Genomic DNA, 18,770 nt, shown 5'->3' with positions numbered 1-18,770 from the left:
GTTCAGTTTACTTCAAGTAAAGGAGATTATACTTGATAATTTCGTTTATCAGTTGACAATGTTAAGAGCAAAAACAGGTTTCCCAGAGAAGAAATTCTGCTTCAAAACTACAGCTTGAAACTTCTACTTGAGTTTTCATTCTGTTAATTTGTCCCACAGATTTCTAATTTGCCAGTCTTCACCATTGCATGAGCTAATTCCTTAAAATAAAACTCACATATATATATATATATATAATAAGTATATTTTACATATGTATGTGGTATATATGATGGTATATGATAGATATTATATATGTTTATGTATGTGTATGCACACACACACACACCTACACACACATTCACGTATTTCTCTGGAGAACCTTAACTAATCAACAGATATAGCAGAGAACAAAACTAAATCACCTGATCTCATTTCAGGTTCCACAGAGTGCTGAGTATTATTTTTTCAGTCTTTTTACATTTATTAAAACTGTTGAGATCCAGCATATGGTCTATCTTGATGAAAATATCATGTACACCTGAAAAATGTATATTCTACAGTTGTAGTTTAAGGTGGTTGAAAGTATGGTTTGGATCACTATGTCTTTACTGATTTTTGTCTAAGCATTCTATAAATTTTTGGAAGATGGGTGCTAAAATCTCCTGCTATGATTGCAGAATTGTCTGTTTCTTTTAATTCTGTAAATGTTTGCTTTATTTGGTTGTAGCTTATTATTAGGCACATGCCACATTGATGATTGTTATGTCTTCTTGATAAGATGATCCATTTATCATTTTGAAGTGTCCTTCTTTAATGTTACTTTCTATCTTGAAAGCTTATTTTATCTGATATGAAAATATCCCTGGCCACCTTATTTTTTAGTTTGCCTAGTATATATATTTCCATTAATTTACTTTTATCTGTTCATTTATTTTTAAAGTGCATCTCTTGTAGGCAGCATGTAGTTGAGTCTTGCTTTTAAATTTATTCTTACAATCTGACTTTTTTTGGAGTGTTTAGTTCATTAATGTTTAATGTAATTATTGATATTTTTGGATTTTCATCTGCCATTTTATTGGATTTTTTTGCACACTTTGTTGTTCCTTTATTTCTCCTTTCCTGTCTCCTTTTAGACTAAATACTTTTTACAATTCTACTTTATTAAATTACTTTTTTTGCATTTTTAGTGGTTATTCTAAGGACTGCAATATACATCCTTCACTTTTCATAGTCAACAAGGAGTTAATATTATACCAATTCATGTAAAATATGAAACTTTGTAAGTGTATAGGCCCATTTATCTCCCTCAACCTCAATGAGGTCTTTTAGGCTATAGTTGTCATATGTATTAAGTCCACATAGACCCTATAAGACAATGTTACAAGTTTCCTTTAAATAGTCCTATGTATTTTATAAAAATTTAGAGAAAACTAGTATTTTATATATATTCAGATATATGCTATTTCCAATGTTCTGCATTCCTTCCTAAGAATCTGAGCTCTTATCTGGTATCATTTTCTTTCAGGATGAGGAGCATTTATTATTTGTAGTGTGAATCTGCTGGTGATGAGTTCTCACTTTTAGAAAATCTGAAAATTCTTTAATTTTGCCTCATTCTTTTATTTATTTATTTATTTTACATATATATATTTATTATACTTTAAGTTCTAGGGTACATGTGCACAATGTGCAGGTTTGTTACATATGTATCCATGTGACATGTTGGTGTGCTGCACCCATTAACTTGGCATTTACATTAGGTATATCTCCTAATGCTATCCCTCCCGCTTCCCCCCACACCACAACAGGCCCCAGTGTGTGATGTTCCCCTTCCTGTGTCCAAGTGTTCTCATTGTTCAATTCCCACCTCTTAGTGAGAACATGCAGTGTTTGGTTTTTTGTCCTTGTGATAGTTTGCTTGAGAATGATGGTTTCCAGCTTCATCCATGTCCCTACAAAGGACAAGAACTCATCATTTTTTATGGCTGCATAGTATTCCATGCTGTATATGTGCCATATTTTCTTAATCCAGTCTATCATTGTTGGACATTTGGGTTGGTTCCAAGTCTTTGCTATTGTGAGTAGTGCTGCAATAAACATACGTGTGCATGTGTCTTCATAGTAGCATGATTTATATTCCTTTGGGTATATACCCAGTAATGGGATGGCTGGGTCAAATGGTATTTCTAGTTCTAGATCCCTGAGGAATCGCCACACTGACTTCCACAATAGTTGAACTAGTTTATAGTCCCACCAACAGTGTAAAAGTGTTCCTATTTCTCCACATCCTCTCCAGCACCTGTTGTTTCCTGACTTTTGAATGATCGCCATTCTAACTGGTGTGAGATGATATCTCATTGTGGTTTTGATTTGCATTTCTCTGATGGCCAGTGATGATGAGCATTTTTTCATGTGTCTTTTGACTGCATAAATGTCTTCTTTTGAGAAGTGTCTGTTCATATCCTTCGCCCACTTGTTGATGGGATTGTTTTTTTTTTTTCTTGTAAATTTGTTTGAGTTCTTTGTAGATTGTGGATATTAGCCCTTTGTCAGATAAGTAGATAGCAAAAATTTTCTCCCATTCTGTAGGTGGCCTGTTCACTCTGATGACGGTTTATTTTGCTGTGCAGGAGCTTTTTAGTTTAATGAGATCCCATTAGTCAATTTTGGCTTTTGTTGCCATTGCTTTTGGTGTTTTAGACATGAAGTCCTTGCCCATGCCTATGTCCTGAATGGTATTGCCTAGGTTTTATTCTAGGATTTTTATGGTTTTAGGTCTAACATTTAAGTCTTTAATCCATCTTGAATTAATTTTTGTATGAGGTGTAAGGAAGGGGTCCAGTTTCAGCTTTCTACATATGGCTAGCCAGTTTTCCCAGCACCATTTATTAACTAGGGAATCCTTTCCCCATTGCTTGTTTTTGTCAGGTTTATCAAAGATCAGATAGTTGTAGATGTGTGGTATTATTTCTGAGGCCTCTGTTTTGATCCATTGGTCTATATCTCTGTTTTGGTACCAGTACCATGCTGTTTTGGTTACTGTAGCCTCGTACTGTAGTTTGAAGTCAGGTAGCATGATGCCTCCAGCTTTGTTCTTTTGGCTTAGGATTGACTTGGCAATGCGGGCTCTTTTTTGGTTCCATATGAACTTTAAAGTAGTTTTTTCCAATTCTGTGAAGAAAGTCATTGGTAGCTTGATGGGGATGGCATTGAATCTATAAATTACCTTGGGCTGTATGGCCATTTTCAGGATATTGATTCTTCCTATCCATGAGCATGGAATGTTCTTCCATTTGTTTGTGTCCTCTTTTATTTCTTTGAGCAGTGGTTTGTAGTTCTCCTTGAAGAGGTCCTTCACATCCCTTGTAAGTTGGATTCCTAGGTATTTTATTCTCTTTGAAGCAATTGTGAATGGGAGTTCACTCATGATTTGGCTCTCTGTTTGTCTGTTATTGGTGTATAAGAATGCTTGTGATTTTTGCACATTGATTTTGTATCCTGAGACTTTGCTGAAGTTGCTTATCAGCTGAAGGAGATTTTGGGCTGAGACGATGGGGTTTTCTAGATATACAATCATGTCATCTGCAAACAGGGACAATTTGACTTCGTCTTTTGCTAATGGAATACCCTTTATTTCTTTCTCCTGCCTGATTGCCCTGGCCAGAACTTCCAACACTATGTTGAATAGGAGTGGTGAAAGAGGGCATCCCTGTCTTGTGCTAGTTTTGAAAGGGAATGCTTCCAGTTTTTGCCCATTCAGTATGATATTGGCTGTGGGTTTGTCATAAATAGCTCTTATTATTTTGAGATACGTCCCATCAATACCTAATTTATTGAGAGTTTTTAGCATGAAGGGCTGTTGAATTTTGTCAAAGGCCTTTTCTGCATCTATTGAGATAATCATGTGGTTTTTGTCTTTGGTTCTGTTTATATGCTGAATTACGTTTATTGATTTTTGTATGTTGAACCAGCCTTGCATCCCAGGGATGAGGCCCACTTGATAATGGTGGATAAGCTTTTTGATGTGCTGCTGGATTCAGTTTGCCAGTATTTCATTGAGGATTTTTGCATCAATGTTCATCAGGGATATTGGTCTAAAATTCTGTTTTTTTGTTGTGTCTCTGCCAGGCTTTGGTATCAGGATGATGCTGGCCTCATAAAATGAGTTAGGGAGGATTCCCTCTTTTTCTATTGACTAGAATAGTTTCAGACGGAATGGTACCAGTTCCTCCTTGTACCTCTGGTAGATTTCAGCTGTGAATCCATCTGGTCCTGGACTTTTTTTGGTTGGTAAGCTATTAATTATTGCCTCAATTTCAGAGCCTGTTATTGGTCTATTCAGAGATTCAACTTCTCCTGGTTTAGTCTTGGGAGAGTGTATGTGTCGAGGAATTTATCCATTTCTTCTAGATTTTCTAGTTAATTTGCATAGAGGTGTTTTTACTATTCTCTGATGGTAGTTTGTATTTCTGTGGGATCGGTGGTGATATCCCCTTTATCATTTTTTATTGTGTCTATTTGATTCTTCTCTCTTTTCTTCTTTATTAGTCTTGCTAGCAGTCTGTCAATTTTGTTGATCTTTTCAAAACACCAGCTCCTGGATTCATTGATTTTTTTGAAGGGTTTTTTTGTGTCTCTATTTCCTTCAGTTCTGTTCTGATCTTAGTTATTTCTTGCCTTCTGCTAGCTTTTGAATGTGTTTGCTCTTGCTTCTCTAGTTCTTTTAATTGTGATGTTTGGGTGTCAATTTTAGATTTCTCTTGCTTTCTCTTGTGGGCATTTAGTGCTATAAATTTCCCTCTACACACTGCTTTAAATGTGTTCCAGAGCTTCTGGTATGTTATGTCTTTGTTCTCATTGGTTTCAAAGAATATCTTTATTTCTGCCTTCATTTTTTTATGCACCCCACAGTCATTCAGGAGCAGGTTGTTCAGTTTCCATGTAGTTGAGTGGTTTTGAGTGAGTTTCTTAATCCTGAGTTCTAGTTTGATTGCACTGTGGTCTGAGAGCCAGTTTGTTATAATTTCTGTTCTTTTACATTTGCTGAGGAGTTCTTTACTTCCAACTATGTGGTCAATTTTGGAATAAGTGCTGTGTGGTGCTGAGAAGAATTTATATTCTGTTGATTTGGGGTGGAGAGTTCTGTAGATGTCTATTAGGTCCACTTGGTGCAGAGCCGAATTCAATTCCTGGATATCCTTGTTAACTTTCTGTCTCATGGATCTGTCTAATATTGACAGTGGGGTGTTAAAGTCTCCCATTATTATTGTGTGGGAGTCCAAGTCTCTTTGTAGGTCTCTAAGGACTTGCTTTATGAATCTGGGTGCTCCTGTATTGGGTGCATATATATTTAGGATAGTTAGCTCTTCTTGTTGAATTGATCCCTTTAGCATTATGTAATGGTTTTCTTTGTCTCTTTTGATCTTTGTTGGTTTAAAGTCTGTTTTATCAGAGACTAGGATTGCAACCCCTGCCTTTTCTGTTTTCCATTTGCTTGGTAGATCTTCCTCCATCCCTTTATTTTGAGCCTATCTGTGTCTCTGCATGTGAGATGGGTTTCCTGAATATAGCACACTGATGGGTCTTGACTCTTTATCCAGTTTGCCAGTCTTTGTCTTTTAATTGGAGCAGTTAGCCCATTTACATTTAAGGTTAATATTGTTATGTGTGAATTTGATCCTGTCATTATGATATTAGCCGGTTGTTTTGCTCATTAGTTGATGCAGTTTCTTCCTAGCATCGATGAGCTTTACAATTTGTCATGTTTTTGCAATGGCTGGTACCGGTTGTTCCTTTCCATGTTTAGTGCTTCCTTCAGGAGCTCTTTTAGGGCAGGCCTGGTGGTGACAAAATCTCTCAGCATTTGCTTGTCTGTAAAGTATTTTATTTCTCCTTCACTTATGAAGCTTAGTTTGGCAGATATGAAATACTGGGTCAAAAATTCTTTTCTTTAAGAATGTTGAATATTGGCCCCCACTCTCTTCTGGCTTGTAGAGTGTCTGCCAAGAGATCAGCTGTTAGTCTGATGGGCTTCCCTTTGTGGGTAACCCGACCTTTCTCTCTGGCTGCCCTTAACATTTTTTCCTTCATTTCAACTTTGGTGAATCTGACAATTATGTGTCTTGAAGTTGTTCTTCTCGAGGAGTATCTTTGTGGTGTTCTCTGTATTTCCTGAATTTGAATGTTGGCCTGCCTTGCTAGATTGGGGAAGTTCTCCTGGATAATATCCTGCAGAATATTTTCCAACTTGGTTCCATTCTCCCCATCACTTTCAGGTACACCAATCAGACGTAGATTTGGTCTTTTCACATGGTCGCATATTTCTTGGAGGTTTTGTTCTTTTCTTTTTATTCTTTTTTCCCTATACTTCTTTTCTCGCTTCATTTCATTGATTTGATCTTCAATCACTGATACGCTTTCTTCCAGCTGATGGAATTGCCTACTGAATCTTGTGCATTCGTCATGTAGTTTTCGTGCCGTGGTTTTCAGCTCCATCAGGTCCTTTAAGGACTTCTCTTCATTGGTTATTCTAGTTAGCCATTTGTCTAATCTTTTTTCAAGGTTTTTAGCTTCTTTGCGATGGGTTCAAACTTCCTCCTTTAGCTCAGAGAAGTTTGATTATCTGAAGCCTTCTTCTCTCAACTCACGAAAGTCATTCTCCATCCAGCTTTGTTCCATTGCTGGTGAGGAGCTGCGTTCCTTTGGAGGAGGAGAGGTGCTTTGATTTTTAGAATTTTCAGTTTTTCTGTTCTGTTTTTTCCCTATCTTTGTGGTTTTATCTGCATTTGGTCTTTGATGATGGCGATGTACAGATGGGGTTTTGGTGTGGATGTCCTTTCTGTTTGTTAGTTTTCCTTTTAACAGTGAGGACCCTCAGCTGCAGGTCTGTTGGAGTTTGCTGGAGGTCCACTCCAGACGCTGTTTGCCTAGGTATCATCAGCAGAGGCTGCAGAACAGCGAATATTGCTGAACAGCAAATGTTGCTGTCGGATCGTTCCTCTGGAGGTTTTGTCTCAGAGGGGTACCTGGCCGTGTGAGGTGTCAGTCTTCCCTTACTGGGCGTGCCTCCCAGATAGGCTACTTGGGGGTCAGGGACCCACTTGAGGAGCAAGTCTGTCCATTCTCAGAGCTCAAGCTGTGTGCTGAAGGAACCACTACTCTCTTCAAAGCTGTTTAGACAGGGACATTTAATTCTGCAGAGGTTTCTGCTGCCTTTTGTTCAGCTATGCCCTGCCCCTAGAGGTGGAGTCTACAGAGGCAGGCAGGCCTCCTTGAGCTGTGGTGGGCTCCACCCAGTTCAAGCTTCCCCACCGCTTTGTTTACCTACTCAAGCCTCAGCAGTCGCCCCTCCCCCAGCCTTGCTGCTGCCTTGCAGTTCAATCTCTGCTGTGCTAGCAATGAGTGAGGCTCCATGGGTGTGGGACCCTCCAAGCCATGTGTGGGATATAATCTCCTGGTGTGCTGTTTGCTAAGACCATCGGAAAAGTGCAGTATTAGGGTGGGAGTGACCCAATTTTCCAGGTGCCGTCTGTCACAGCTTTGCTTGGCTATGAAAGGGAATTCCCTGACCCCTTGTGCTTCCCGAGTGAGGCGATGCCTTGCCCTGCTTTGGCTCACGCTCAGTGGGCTGCACCCACTGTCCTGCACCAACTGTCCGACAAGCCCCAGTGAGATGAACCCGGTACCTCAGTTGGAAATGCAGAAATCACCCATCTTCTGCGTCGCTCATGCTGGGAGCTGTAGGCTGGAGCTGTTCCTATTTGGCCATCTTGGAACCGCCCCTCATTTTTGCCTCATTCTTAAAGGATAATTTTACTGATATAGAATTCTGAGCTAACAGTTCTACCTCTAGCACAAAGATGTTATTCCGTTAAAGTTTGGCTCGCAAATTTTCCAACAGGAAGTCTATAGTAGTTCTTATTTTTTCTTCCTTTGTGTGTAATGTGTTATTTTGCTCTACTTGCAAAATTTTCTTTCTCTCCCTCCCTTTTTAAAAGCAATTTGATTATGGTATGCCTAGGCATGTTTGTCTTCATAATTATCTTACTTGAGCTTCCTAAGATTCTTAAATCTGGAAATTTATGTTTATCCTCACATTTGGGAAAATTTTGGTTATTGTTTCTTTATATTTTTGCTCCTACCCTCTTCTCCCCTCTTATTCTGAAACTCTAGTAATGCATATATTAGATGTTTTGACATTACTCTCAGCTCTAAGGTCTTGCTCATTTTTTGATCACCTTTTTTTTCACCCAGTCTTCAAACTGAATAATTTTTATTGATCTGTTTCCAACTTCCCTTACTCTTTCATGTGTTACCTCTATTTTGCTCTTAAGCCCATCCTGTGAATTTTTAATTTCAGGTATTGCATTTTTACATCATAGCATTTCTAGTTTTACAAAAGTTTCTCTGTCGATATTTTCTATCTTTTATTTATTGTGAGCACATTTTACTTTACATTAAAGAGGATAGCTGTAATAAATAGCTGCTTTAAAATTCTTCTCTGCTTGGGTCACGCCTGTAATCCCAGCACTTTGGGAGACCAAGGCAGGCAGATCACGAGGTCAGGAGATCGAGACCAACCTGGCTAACACGGTGAAACCCTGTCTCTACTAAAAATACAAAAACTTAGCCGGGCGTGATGGCGGGCGCCTGTAGTCCCAGCTACTCTGGAGGCTGAGGCAGGAGAATGGTGTGAACCCAGGAGGCAGAGCTTGCAGTGAGCCGAGATCACACCACTGCACTCCAGCCTGGGTGACAGAGCGAGACTCCGTCTCAAAAAAAAAAAAAAAAAAAAAAAAAAATAAATAAATAATAAAAAAATAAAAATAAAAAAATAAAATTCTTCTCTGCTGATTCCAGTGTGTGAGCCAACTTATTACTCTCTGTTATCTTTCCTCAAGATTCTTCAGCTTTTAATAGTTATTTAAATGTGAAATAATTTTGACTTTACCCCCAGCATTATGGCTATTTTGTTGTGAAGACTCCAGATTTAGTTATATAACCTTGAAGAATGTTGACTTTTTGTTTTACCAGTTAATTTGTTTAGATTTAAACTGCAAATCCTGTTTCTTGGCCAACAGCTTACATTTCAGCTCTTTTCTCCTTAGCTGATTTTGAGTCTTTCTGGCACTTCATGGTTCAGTGAGCCAGAGATATGGGTGGGGTAGAGTTTGTACACAGAATCTGGGGTTCTATCTGGTTCTCTGTTTTTTTACTTTCTAGTGGCTGTAGTTGTAATAAACTCTGGTCTTTGTTTTTTTTTTTTTTTTGGACAGAAAGACTATTTTTTTTGGTCTATTTGAGTTTTAATTATCTTATGAAATTCTGGCCCATTCTTAAAGTTGTAAATGGGAAACTCCATGCAGTTTTCTTCTTTAAAGTCCTTACACTCATCCAGAATATGTTTGCATTTGGTTTTTAGTCTTAAGAGCTTTCAGGTTTTTTTTTTTTTTTATTGTTTTTGGATTTTGTCCTAAGTTTACAGTTGTTTTCTGAGGGAGGTTAGTATATTACTTAACGGGCCACATTGGAAGTAATACTCTGAGCATTACCTCTAATTTTAGACAGATACAACTCCAGGCCCTCAAGAAATGTGTGCCTCTTCAAATAGATAGAAATGAGGGACAAAGTCAGGAGTTATCAAGGTTTTGGTAGGATCACCTCAGGGAGCTAGAAGGTATTGCCTGGGAACATGTTGCTGACCTTTATGTCAGATATCTCACAGAAATTAATGACGAGGGAAGTGTCTCTGATTTCTACGTGTGGTGACAATTAGGATTAGGAGGAAGAAATTGCTTGAGCTTGGAAGTCAGAATAATGCAGATCAACTCTATGTTACACCTCACTTGGTCTGTGGCAAATGTTATAAGTTATCTAAGGTTACCTAAAACTCCCTATTGGAGAACTTATTGTAATGATACCTACCATTCATGCAGTTGTGAGGATTCAATGAGATAAAATACTTAAAGGCCCCTGGCACCTACAAGATGCTCAACATATTTTCCTCTCTGTATTTTGGGAAATGGACTGGTTTGCCTTGCAGTGACCATGTGATCTTGGGGAGAATTAAAGGCAAGATCAGGATCACTGATGCATAAAAAGTACATCAGAATTTCATTGAGTTCTACAGTGAATTTCAGTTATTTTTTTTTTAAATTAAAGAACCATCATAGCACTGTGGGTGAGCATGGACTTTATGGTCAGAGAGACCTGGTTTGAATCCCAGGTTTTCTAGTTACACACAATATGATTTGGGCCAATTATTCTCTGAGCCTCAGTTTTCTATCTATGTAACAGGAATAATAAAACCTTCCTCATAGAGTTTTATGAAGTTTACATGAAATCACATTTATAAAGCTCCTAAAGCATCCATCAGGGCCTGGTGCATAGTATGCACTCAATAGATGTTGTTTGTTGTCATTTTTATTGTGACTGTTTGTTTAATAAAAAACATGGGGCTAACATAAAACTACTAATGTTTGAAAGTGAGATGGAAAGGTTCACTAGAAAAAAGGTGGGGACAAAGGATGTTGTGGGTGGGGTAGGGCAAGTCTGTTTTCATAAAGAAAACAGTGGGAAGTGGGAAGACTAAAGGGCATATTTTGATAGTGAGGCTAAACTATCCATGTGAGGGAAATTAACATGGGAGAACCATGTGGAATTTTGCTAGTGGAATGAGTCAGGTCTACTCTGGGCCTTTGCCTCAAGGGTTAAAGATGAGATTAAATATTTAATGCCCATTCATATTTAGATCCTTGGGAGCATTTTACTGACACAGTCATTTTACTCTCTCTCCATTTACATTTCCAGCTCTATAAGGAAAGCATTGATTCTACAGCATAACATGCTTGTGCGGAACAAGGGTTCCTTAACAAAATCACAGCCTTATTATCCAGCATTTGTAAGTTTAAAGGGCAGGGTGGTTTCAGTGTCCTAGAGGATCTGTTAGCTGCCCTCCACCAGGACCAGGGGCTGGAGGAGGCACAGCACATGTCAAGTTGTTGAGGAAGCAGACTTCTGCTGATTTGCATGGCATACAGGTGACAAGAGAAAGGAAGAGGGGTCAGAGGCAAAGAATCACATCTAAAGGACGAGCCAGCATCAATAACAGGAGGAGGGATTCAAAGGGCTAGATAGTCTGCATCCTCAACAGGAGGGCACCAGAGATAGAGGGAGGTGGCAGGTGGTCTGAATGCAGCCTCCAGGGGTTTGTGATATCAGCCTTCAGATGTCGCCTTTCTCCTAAGCAAGGAGAATCTTTGGCACATATCAAGCCTGAAGGAAATAAGCTGGCCTCAATAGCCTTTGTACTTCCACATGACTTACTAATCTATTTGGCTTATTTAAAATATGTCTCTAGCCTGGGGGACTCTGGACCTGTGCCAAAAACTACCTGCATTTATTGTAAAGTCAGAGGTTCCCTTATAAAGGATGCCAGGTCAGATGGTTGGAACTTTGGGTCAGAAACTGGGGACCCAATCATGGACTTCCTGTGAGTTCTTGAGGAAAATCCTCTTTTCATGCCATGCCTCAGCTTCTCTATTTTATATCCTCCTTGGCATCTACCACCTCACAAGTGAGAATGGGCACAGAGATGGGAGACCAGTCTGACCTCCCACCCTCCCTCACTTCCCACAGGCAGCTTAACTAAGTTAATAATTGAAAACTTACACACCTGCTATGGACCTCTGTCTCCTCTTATGGTTCCTGTCTTACCAAATGCCACCAACATTCCCTTAGTAAAAGCATCTTGCTGAACTCTTACCTCTCTCTCTTGCACCTCCGCTCCCAGTGTTAATCCATCACTCTTGTTAATTCTACCTCATACATATTTCTAAAATCTATCTACTTTTCCAAAACTCCACTGCCACTAACTTGATTCAGCTCAGTCATTCCTTGTGTAGATGACAATAGTTTCCTGATGTTTTCCTTATCTCCTTATGCCTGCCCCCATCACTGCTCCCCGCTAAACTGTTTCTAAAATGTGAATCTCATCCTGTTGGGTCCTGCTTAAAATCTTTTAATGGTACCCTGCTGCCAGCAGGTGAAAAGTCAAACTCCTCACTGGGATGACAAGCTTTGGATCTGGCCCCTGCTGACCCCCCAAGCCTCCCCTCTTATGCCATCCCCCAACTCAAAGCCCACACTGGACCCCAGTCTTGATAAACCAGTCACAATGCTCCGTTTTGTTTGCCTTTGGTCCCTCTGCCCGCAGCACTCTTCTCTTCCCTGTCTTTCCCACTCTAATTTTCTTAGCCTGTGTTTGCCCTTATCTTGCAGGCTTCAACTTAGGCATGACTTCCACAGGTAATTCTTCTATGACTCTTCAAAGCCTGGATCCAGTGTACCCCTCATGTTCATTTACATCCTGTGCCTCTTCAATCACACAGTCCTCCATTGCGAGTGCTTCTATTACAAGTGTTTTGTCTTGTCTGAATTCTTCAACAAGCTATGAACGTGGTGAAGGTTGGGCCATGTCTGCCTCATTTCCTTTTGCACGTCCTAGCACTATACTTGGCACCAACCAGGAACCTGATACATATCTGTTAAATGAATGAAGATAAAGAGTTACTGAAATGTAAGCCATGTGTTTTTTGGAGTGAAGGGAATTTTATTAAATTAGAGCCAAATAAAGTTGTTTCATTTCAGAAGGTCTTTGGCACAGAGATGGGAGACCAGTCTGACCTCCCTACCTCCCTCACTTCCCACAGGCAGCTTAACTAAATCTTTTAATGGTACCCTGCTGCCAGCAGGTGAAAACTCACACTCCTCACTGGGATGACAAGCTTTGGATCCGGCCCCTGCTTAAAATCTTTTCTCCAACATCCTGTACTTTTCCAGGGATAGGATGAGGATGGCATTCGTCACTCACCCACAAACACATTGTCTGGAAGGCCCGCCTTGTAGGATGAGCTGTGTTAGTTTGTGAGGATCCAACCTTGCAGATGGAAAATGACTTTTGAGGAAATACGAGGCCTAATGGTTCCTTATTTGCTCATCTGGGTGGGTCTGAGAGGAAGAGGGTCTGGGAGAAATGGGCTCTTAATGGACCAGGGTGACCTTTTTATGTCTCTGGGCAACTGAACTCAGAAAGGGTCTGACTGATTCTAATTGCTCTGACAACACACCAGGAGTGTGTGTTGAGCCTCAGAACAAGCCGGCAGCCTGGCTCCCTCTGTTCCTGGATGATGAGCTGGGCCCTCAGGCTCCTGACAGGCTGCTAGCATAAGCTTCATCCATAGTGCTTGAATGCTGCCTTGCTGCTGCAAGAACAGAGAACAGTGGTGTGTCAGCATGAGGACAGGCCCACTGGGAAGACAGGAGTTGGGACAGAAAACTTTTTATTCTGTCACATGATGTAAAATCAAGGGGACTTGGTAAAATCACAGGAACTAGATTAAAGGAAATGTCTCTGGTCGTATTGTATACTATAGAGCTGGTCTAACTGTGGCAACAACATTATGGGTTTTTATAGCACCTTTCTTCCCCACGGCACGGGGTGCTTTACTGTCTATTAACAGGCTTTCAATTGAATGGATTCTCACAGGCCCTCAGTTCTGGTATTTATTTACTTTGTAGCATTAGAGTATTTATTATAGCACAGAAAAAATGGATCGAGAAATGGTCTGTTCTTGGCATGCACAGATAGGGGCATATGTGTGTCTCTGTGTGTCTGTGTTAAATTCAACCATTAAATATTAGATGAAATAGGAGGATATGTAATGAATACATAATAAAGGGAGCTAAAGAAATAAGAAAAATTTTGCATAAATCATTACAATTCAATTACAACATTGATGAGAAATCAAGGCCAGTTTATACTTTGGAAACAGTGAACAATTAGGTGAGTGAGTTTCTCTCTTACTCTCAAGGCCATTTCTGTTTTCCAGAGGAAAATCTTTTCCTCTCCTTGGAAGTCATCACTAAATGACTAAATATGAAACAAGAAAAACAGGCTCAGAATGAGGACACCAAAATGATTAAACCTTTGTTTCTGGGTTCTTGGAACTTAAACTAGGCCAACATTGATGAGTTTGCTTCTACTTAGACTTCTGTAGCAGTACAATTTACAAATAGTAGAAACAAAGATAGAATTAAGAAGCAATAAGCATTCATGATGTTTTAAGGAAACTGTTTACTGAAGGAAAAAAACCCAATCAATTTAACAGTAGTTGTAAATATATACTTAGGCACAGCGAAGGAAGATTGTTAAGAATAATTTCAAGCCATAGTATTGGAATTCATATGGTCATTAAGTACTTAGAGGAATGCTTTCGAGATGAGAGATGAGTGTTTTATAGCCATTCAAGTTAAGGTGAATGACTTCTGCTTCTAGCAGAAGCTGGATCTTCCCTTTCACAAAACAACTAAAAATTAGACCACTTGTATGAAACAATAGTTTATGAAACTTTAAACATCAGAAAAAGGATGGAAATACTTGAGAGATAGAAAAAGAAGAGTGTGAGCCCTATGATTGCCCGAACATGCCACTGAGAGAGCTTCCAGGCCACGGCACAGGGAGGGGAAACCCAGGAACATCTTGGTAGTCTCTCTGATTTGAGGAGTCTGGGGAGGCCAGTGGGACTAGAATTTGCAGGAAGAGTGCTCTGAGGAAAAAGTTGCACAGAAAGAGAACTCTGGAGATCTTCAGAAAGTCCCCCTTAAGTCTCCCTCTGAGTACTGTTGAGTGCAGGTTTGTGAGGAAATGACCTGAGGCTGGGGAAAGAACTACTTGACAGGATTGGAGGCAACACTCTCCAAAGCTCACACATGACTGAGAATATTTTCTGTTCCCATCAGAGTGGGAAATCTCATAATTAATGAGACATCATCAATGAGAGTATTCAGCAGGGTCCCACCTCTGTAGTGGGTTGAAATTAGCCCTAGACTGAGCACTGCTGTGATACTGCCTAGCAAAGCTTAAAAGCATGATCAGAACTCTTCCCAAGTAAAAATTATGGAGCAAAAAAAAAAAACAACTAAAAAAAAATTACTAGAAATAAAAAAATGTCCAGCACCCAGTAAGACAAAATTCACAATGTCTGACATCCAATATTTTACCAGGCATGCAAAAAAAAAAAAAAAAAAAAAAAGAAAGAAAAAAAAAAAAAGGAAGAAAATGTATGGTGCATAATTAGGAGAAAAATCAATTAAAACTAAGCCAGAAATGACATAGATGACAAAATTATTAGATAAGGACATTCCCTATATTCAAGAACCTGAAGAAACAACTTAGTGTATTAAAGGGCACATTACATAAAATATAAAAAATAACTTCTTGAGATGAAAACTACAATTTCTGAGATGAAAAATATACTGGATAGAATTGATGATAGATTAGACAATGAAGAAGAAAGGGTTACTGAATATAAAAACAGAGTAGAGACTATCCAGAATGAATCACGTAGAGAAAGAATTCTGGGAAACAATGGAAACAAAGCATACTTATGGGGGTATACTTTATACTTCAAGTGGCCCAAGATGCACATGATCTTGGGAGATGGACTCTCCGAAGAGAAGAGGTTGGGTACAAAAAATATTTGAAGGCATAATGGCCAGATATCGTCCAAGTTTGATGAAAACTCTAAATCCACAGTTCCAACATTCAACAAATGGCCAAGAAATACGAAGGAAACAAACTAAAGCACTTTATAATAAAATTGTTTAACCCCCAATGATAAAGAGAAAAACCTAAAAGCAGCCACAGAAAAAAGATACATTGTATATAGAGAAACAAAGTTAAGGATGACAATAGATTTCTTATCAGAAACAATGCAAGAGAAGAGAGTGAGGCAATATTTAAAGTACTGATGGAAAATAACTGTCAACTTAGATTCTATACCAAGCAAAAATGTTTCCAAAGCTAAAATTAAAGATTTTTCAGATATACACAAACTGAAAAAATTTGTTACCAGCAGACTGGAGAGAGAAAGAGATATATATATATATATAAAATGTCATATATATACACATACATATATGTCACTATATATTATATATAACTATATATACATTATTACTATACATATATATGATACATGTATGTGTCCTATATGTCATATGTGACACATGTATGTGTATCTATGTCATATGTGTGTCATATGTATGTGCATATGTCATATGTATGTGTATATATGACATATATGACACATACATGTTTCATATTATATATGTATAGTAATAAAGTACTAGGCATGGTAACAATGTGGGTAAATATGAAAATGCTTAATCATTTAAATCTTAAAAAAATGAGCATTTAAGGCCAAAAAATAACAATGTGTGTTGGAGTTTATTTTATTTTTATATATATATGTGTGTGTGTATATATATATATATATATATGTATATATATATATATATATATATATGTAAAATGTATAACAACAATATCACAAAAGCCAGGAGAGGAGAGATACAATTATATGGTTATTAGATTCTTGTACTATATATGAAATGATATAATGTCACTTGAAGGGAGACAGTGGTAAGTTAAAGATGTATATTATCAGTCTTAGAACCACCACTAAATTAACACCGCAAAGACTCATAGTTAAAAAGCCAACCATGTTATGGTAGATAACATGGGATCATAAGGGATACTTAACTAATCCCAATGTAAGGTTGATGGATATAAACTTTATCGTGATTGTGCTAATGGCTTCATGAGTATATACATATAACAAAGCTTACCAAACTGTAAACTTTATGTACATATTATTGTATGCCAGTTTTCCCTTATAAAGCCATTAAAAAGTTAAGGTGGGTCTAACTACTCACTGTATCTGAAATAAAATTTTTTTTAAGCAATAAAATGTTCCATAGTTCACATTAATGTGCCAGAAATTCAACTCCATAATTTTGGAGAATAAATTAGAATTGTAGAAGAATGGTATTTAAAAGAGCTAGAAGATATCTTAGAAGCCATCTAGTCCTCCTTCCTCATTTCATTTATATGGAAATGAAGGTCCAGATAAATAATGTGAGTTACCCCAATTTATTACCAATCATCCAAGATGAGAATAAACAATAATAAAAAAGTAAATGCTTACTTAATTTGTCTTTTTTTGTGAAACTTCTCATTGTGATGGATATGGTTTTGCCTACAACACGTGGGTTAAAGATCGTGTTTTGACTAAGACTGGGAAATCAAGCTATGAGTGGTACAGTAACTGGAGCTACTGGGAATAGCAACAGCTGAATTATGTAGTTAATTCCAAGACAGCCTCCTTGTTACTAGTGATCATGATCTTCTTGAATTCTTTAAGTAAGCAGTGACTTCAAAGACTTAGGGTATTAAACTTCAAAAAAGCACATTTGGGGAATTAATCAATCTAATAAATATGGTTCAGAGGGAAGAAGTATTAAAATCTATAACTGGATGGAATTTTGAACATCTGAATAGACACTATAATTAAACCAAGTGGATTACAATTGCTCTGGAAAAGAAGATTGGAGATTGCTTGCTCTTTGCAAAGTGGATTTACAAAGGGTGGCTTAAAAACCTATGTGCAAAGAAAAATCTGACTTGGAAAGGAAAGGGACAGGAGGGGATCAAATGAGAATATGCAACTAAAGTTAGGGCAGCCAAAGAGCAGGGTGAATTAATGTAAGCAAAATGAGAATGAGAAAGGTCTTCTTGAATAGACAAAAAATAAATAAAAAATGGAGGCAAGGGAAACGGGAGGCCAGCTGATGGATGAAGATGATTACAAGATTAAAGATGACTTTGAAGGTTGCTGAGGGATAGCTACATTCCCCTTTCTCCCCCCTCTGCCATCTCTGCTTTAATAAGAGAAGTGAAGAAAATAAACTCAGACAATTAAAAGGCAATAAAGAGTTCTCCAAAAGAGCTTTCGATAAAAAGCAGGGAAGAAAACATGTTATAACTTTGGCTTTCCATTAAGAAATAGCCCTGCTAATCAAAACTAGAAGGCAGTACAGGAAGGAGCTTTCTATAGGAAGATTTAGGTATATCTATAGAATTTAGGGAAATAAACTAGGTAAAATATTAGCCTTTGGAAAAGCTAGAAACACCTAGGTAATAAATGTCAAAAGTAATGTCAATGTTTAGTAGAATAGTGGAATTGATTTGGACAGAGAAGAAAATCTGTAGAAGTATGAAGAATAAACAATTACTATCATTGTTAAATAGCCTGAGTGTTTAGGTATTCAAATTAAGTTATTTAGGTTATGCTTTAACTCTTTTGAGAAAGCTTTTTTTGGGGGACTATATAATACGAGCAGGAAAAGTAAAATGATCTGTCGTACTTCCTTTTATAATACAGTTATGAAAATCAGTCTCGATTGCCATTTTCCAGGCTTGGGGATTTTAGGAATTTGGACAACAAGCCAAGCCCAAGTCTATCTGCACATGTTAGGGCAATAGGCATCTACCTACTTTATGTGACATCCAGGATCTATGAATGTCTCCTGCCCAAAGCTCTTCCCTTCTCCATCTGCCTGGAAACTTAAAATTCCCCAAGTACAGCCTTTGATTGGATAATAAACATCCACTCTGCTTAAATGTAGGGTTGTATTACCTGGGAGGGGTAAAATACAGTGCCCTTAAATACTACTTAAGAGAGGAATTGATTAGGATTGATTTTCTTAAAGAATAAGGATACAAAAGCTTTAAGAAATAATAAAAGCTAACATTTATTAAGTGCCAGGTACCATGCTAATTGATTCACATAAGATTCTCTCATTAATCCTCTGGATGTTCCTTTGAAGGAAGGTACTGATACAATTCCATTTTGCTGATGAGAAAACAAATGCACAAAGAAGTTTAG

Source organism: Homo sapiens, chromosome 1, assembly GCF_000001405.40.
Source record: "Homo sapiens chromosome 1, GRCh38.p14 Primary Assembly".
Taxonomy (NCBI): Eukaryota; Metazoa; Chordata; class Mammalia; order Primates; family Hominidae; genus Homo; species Homo sapiens.
The sequence above is the reverse complement of the archived record's forward strand: the minus strand, read 5'-3'. Positions refer to the sequence as shown.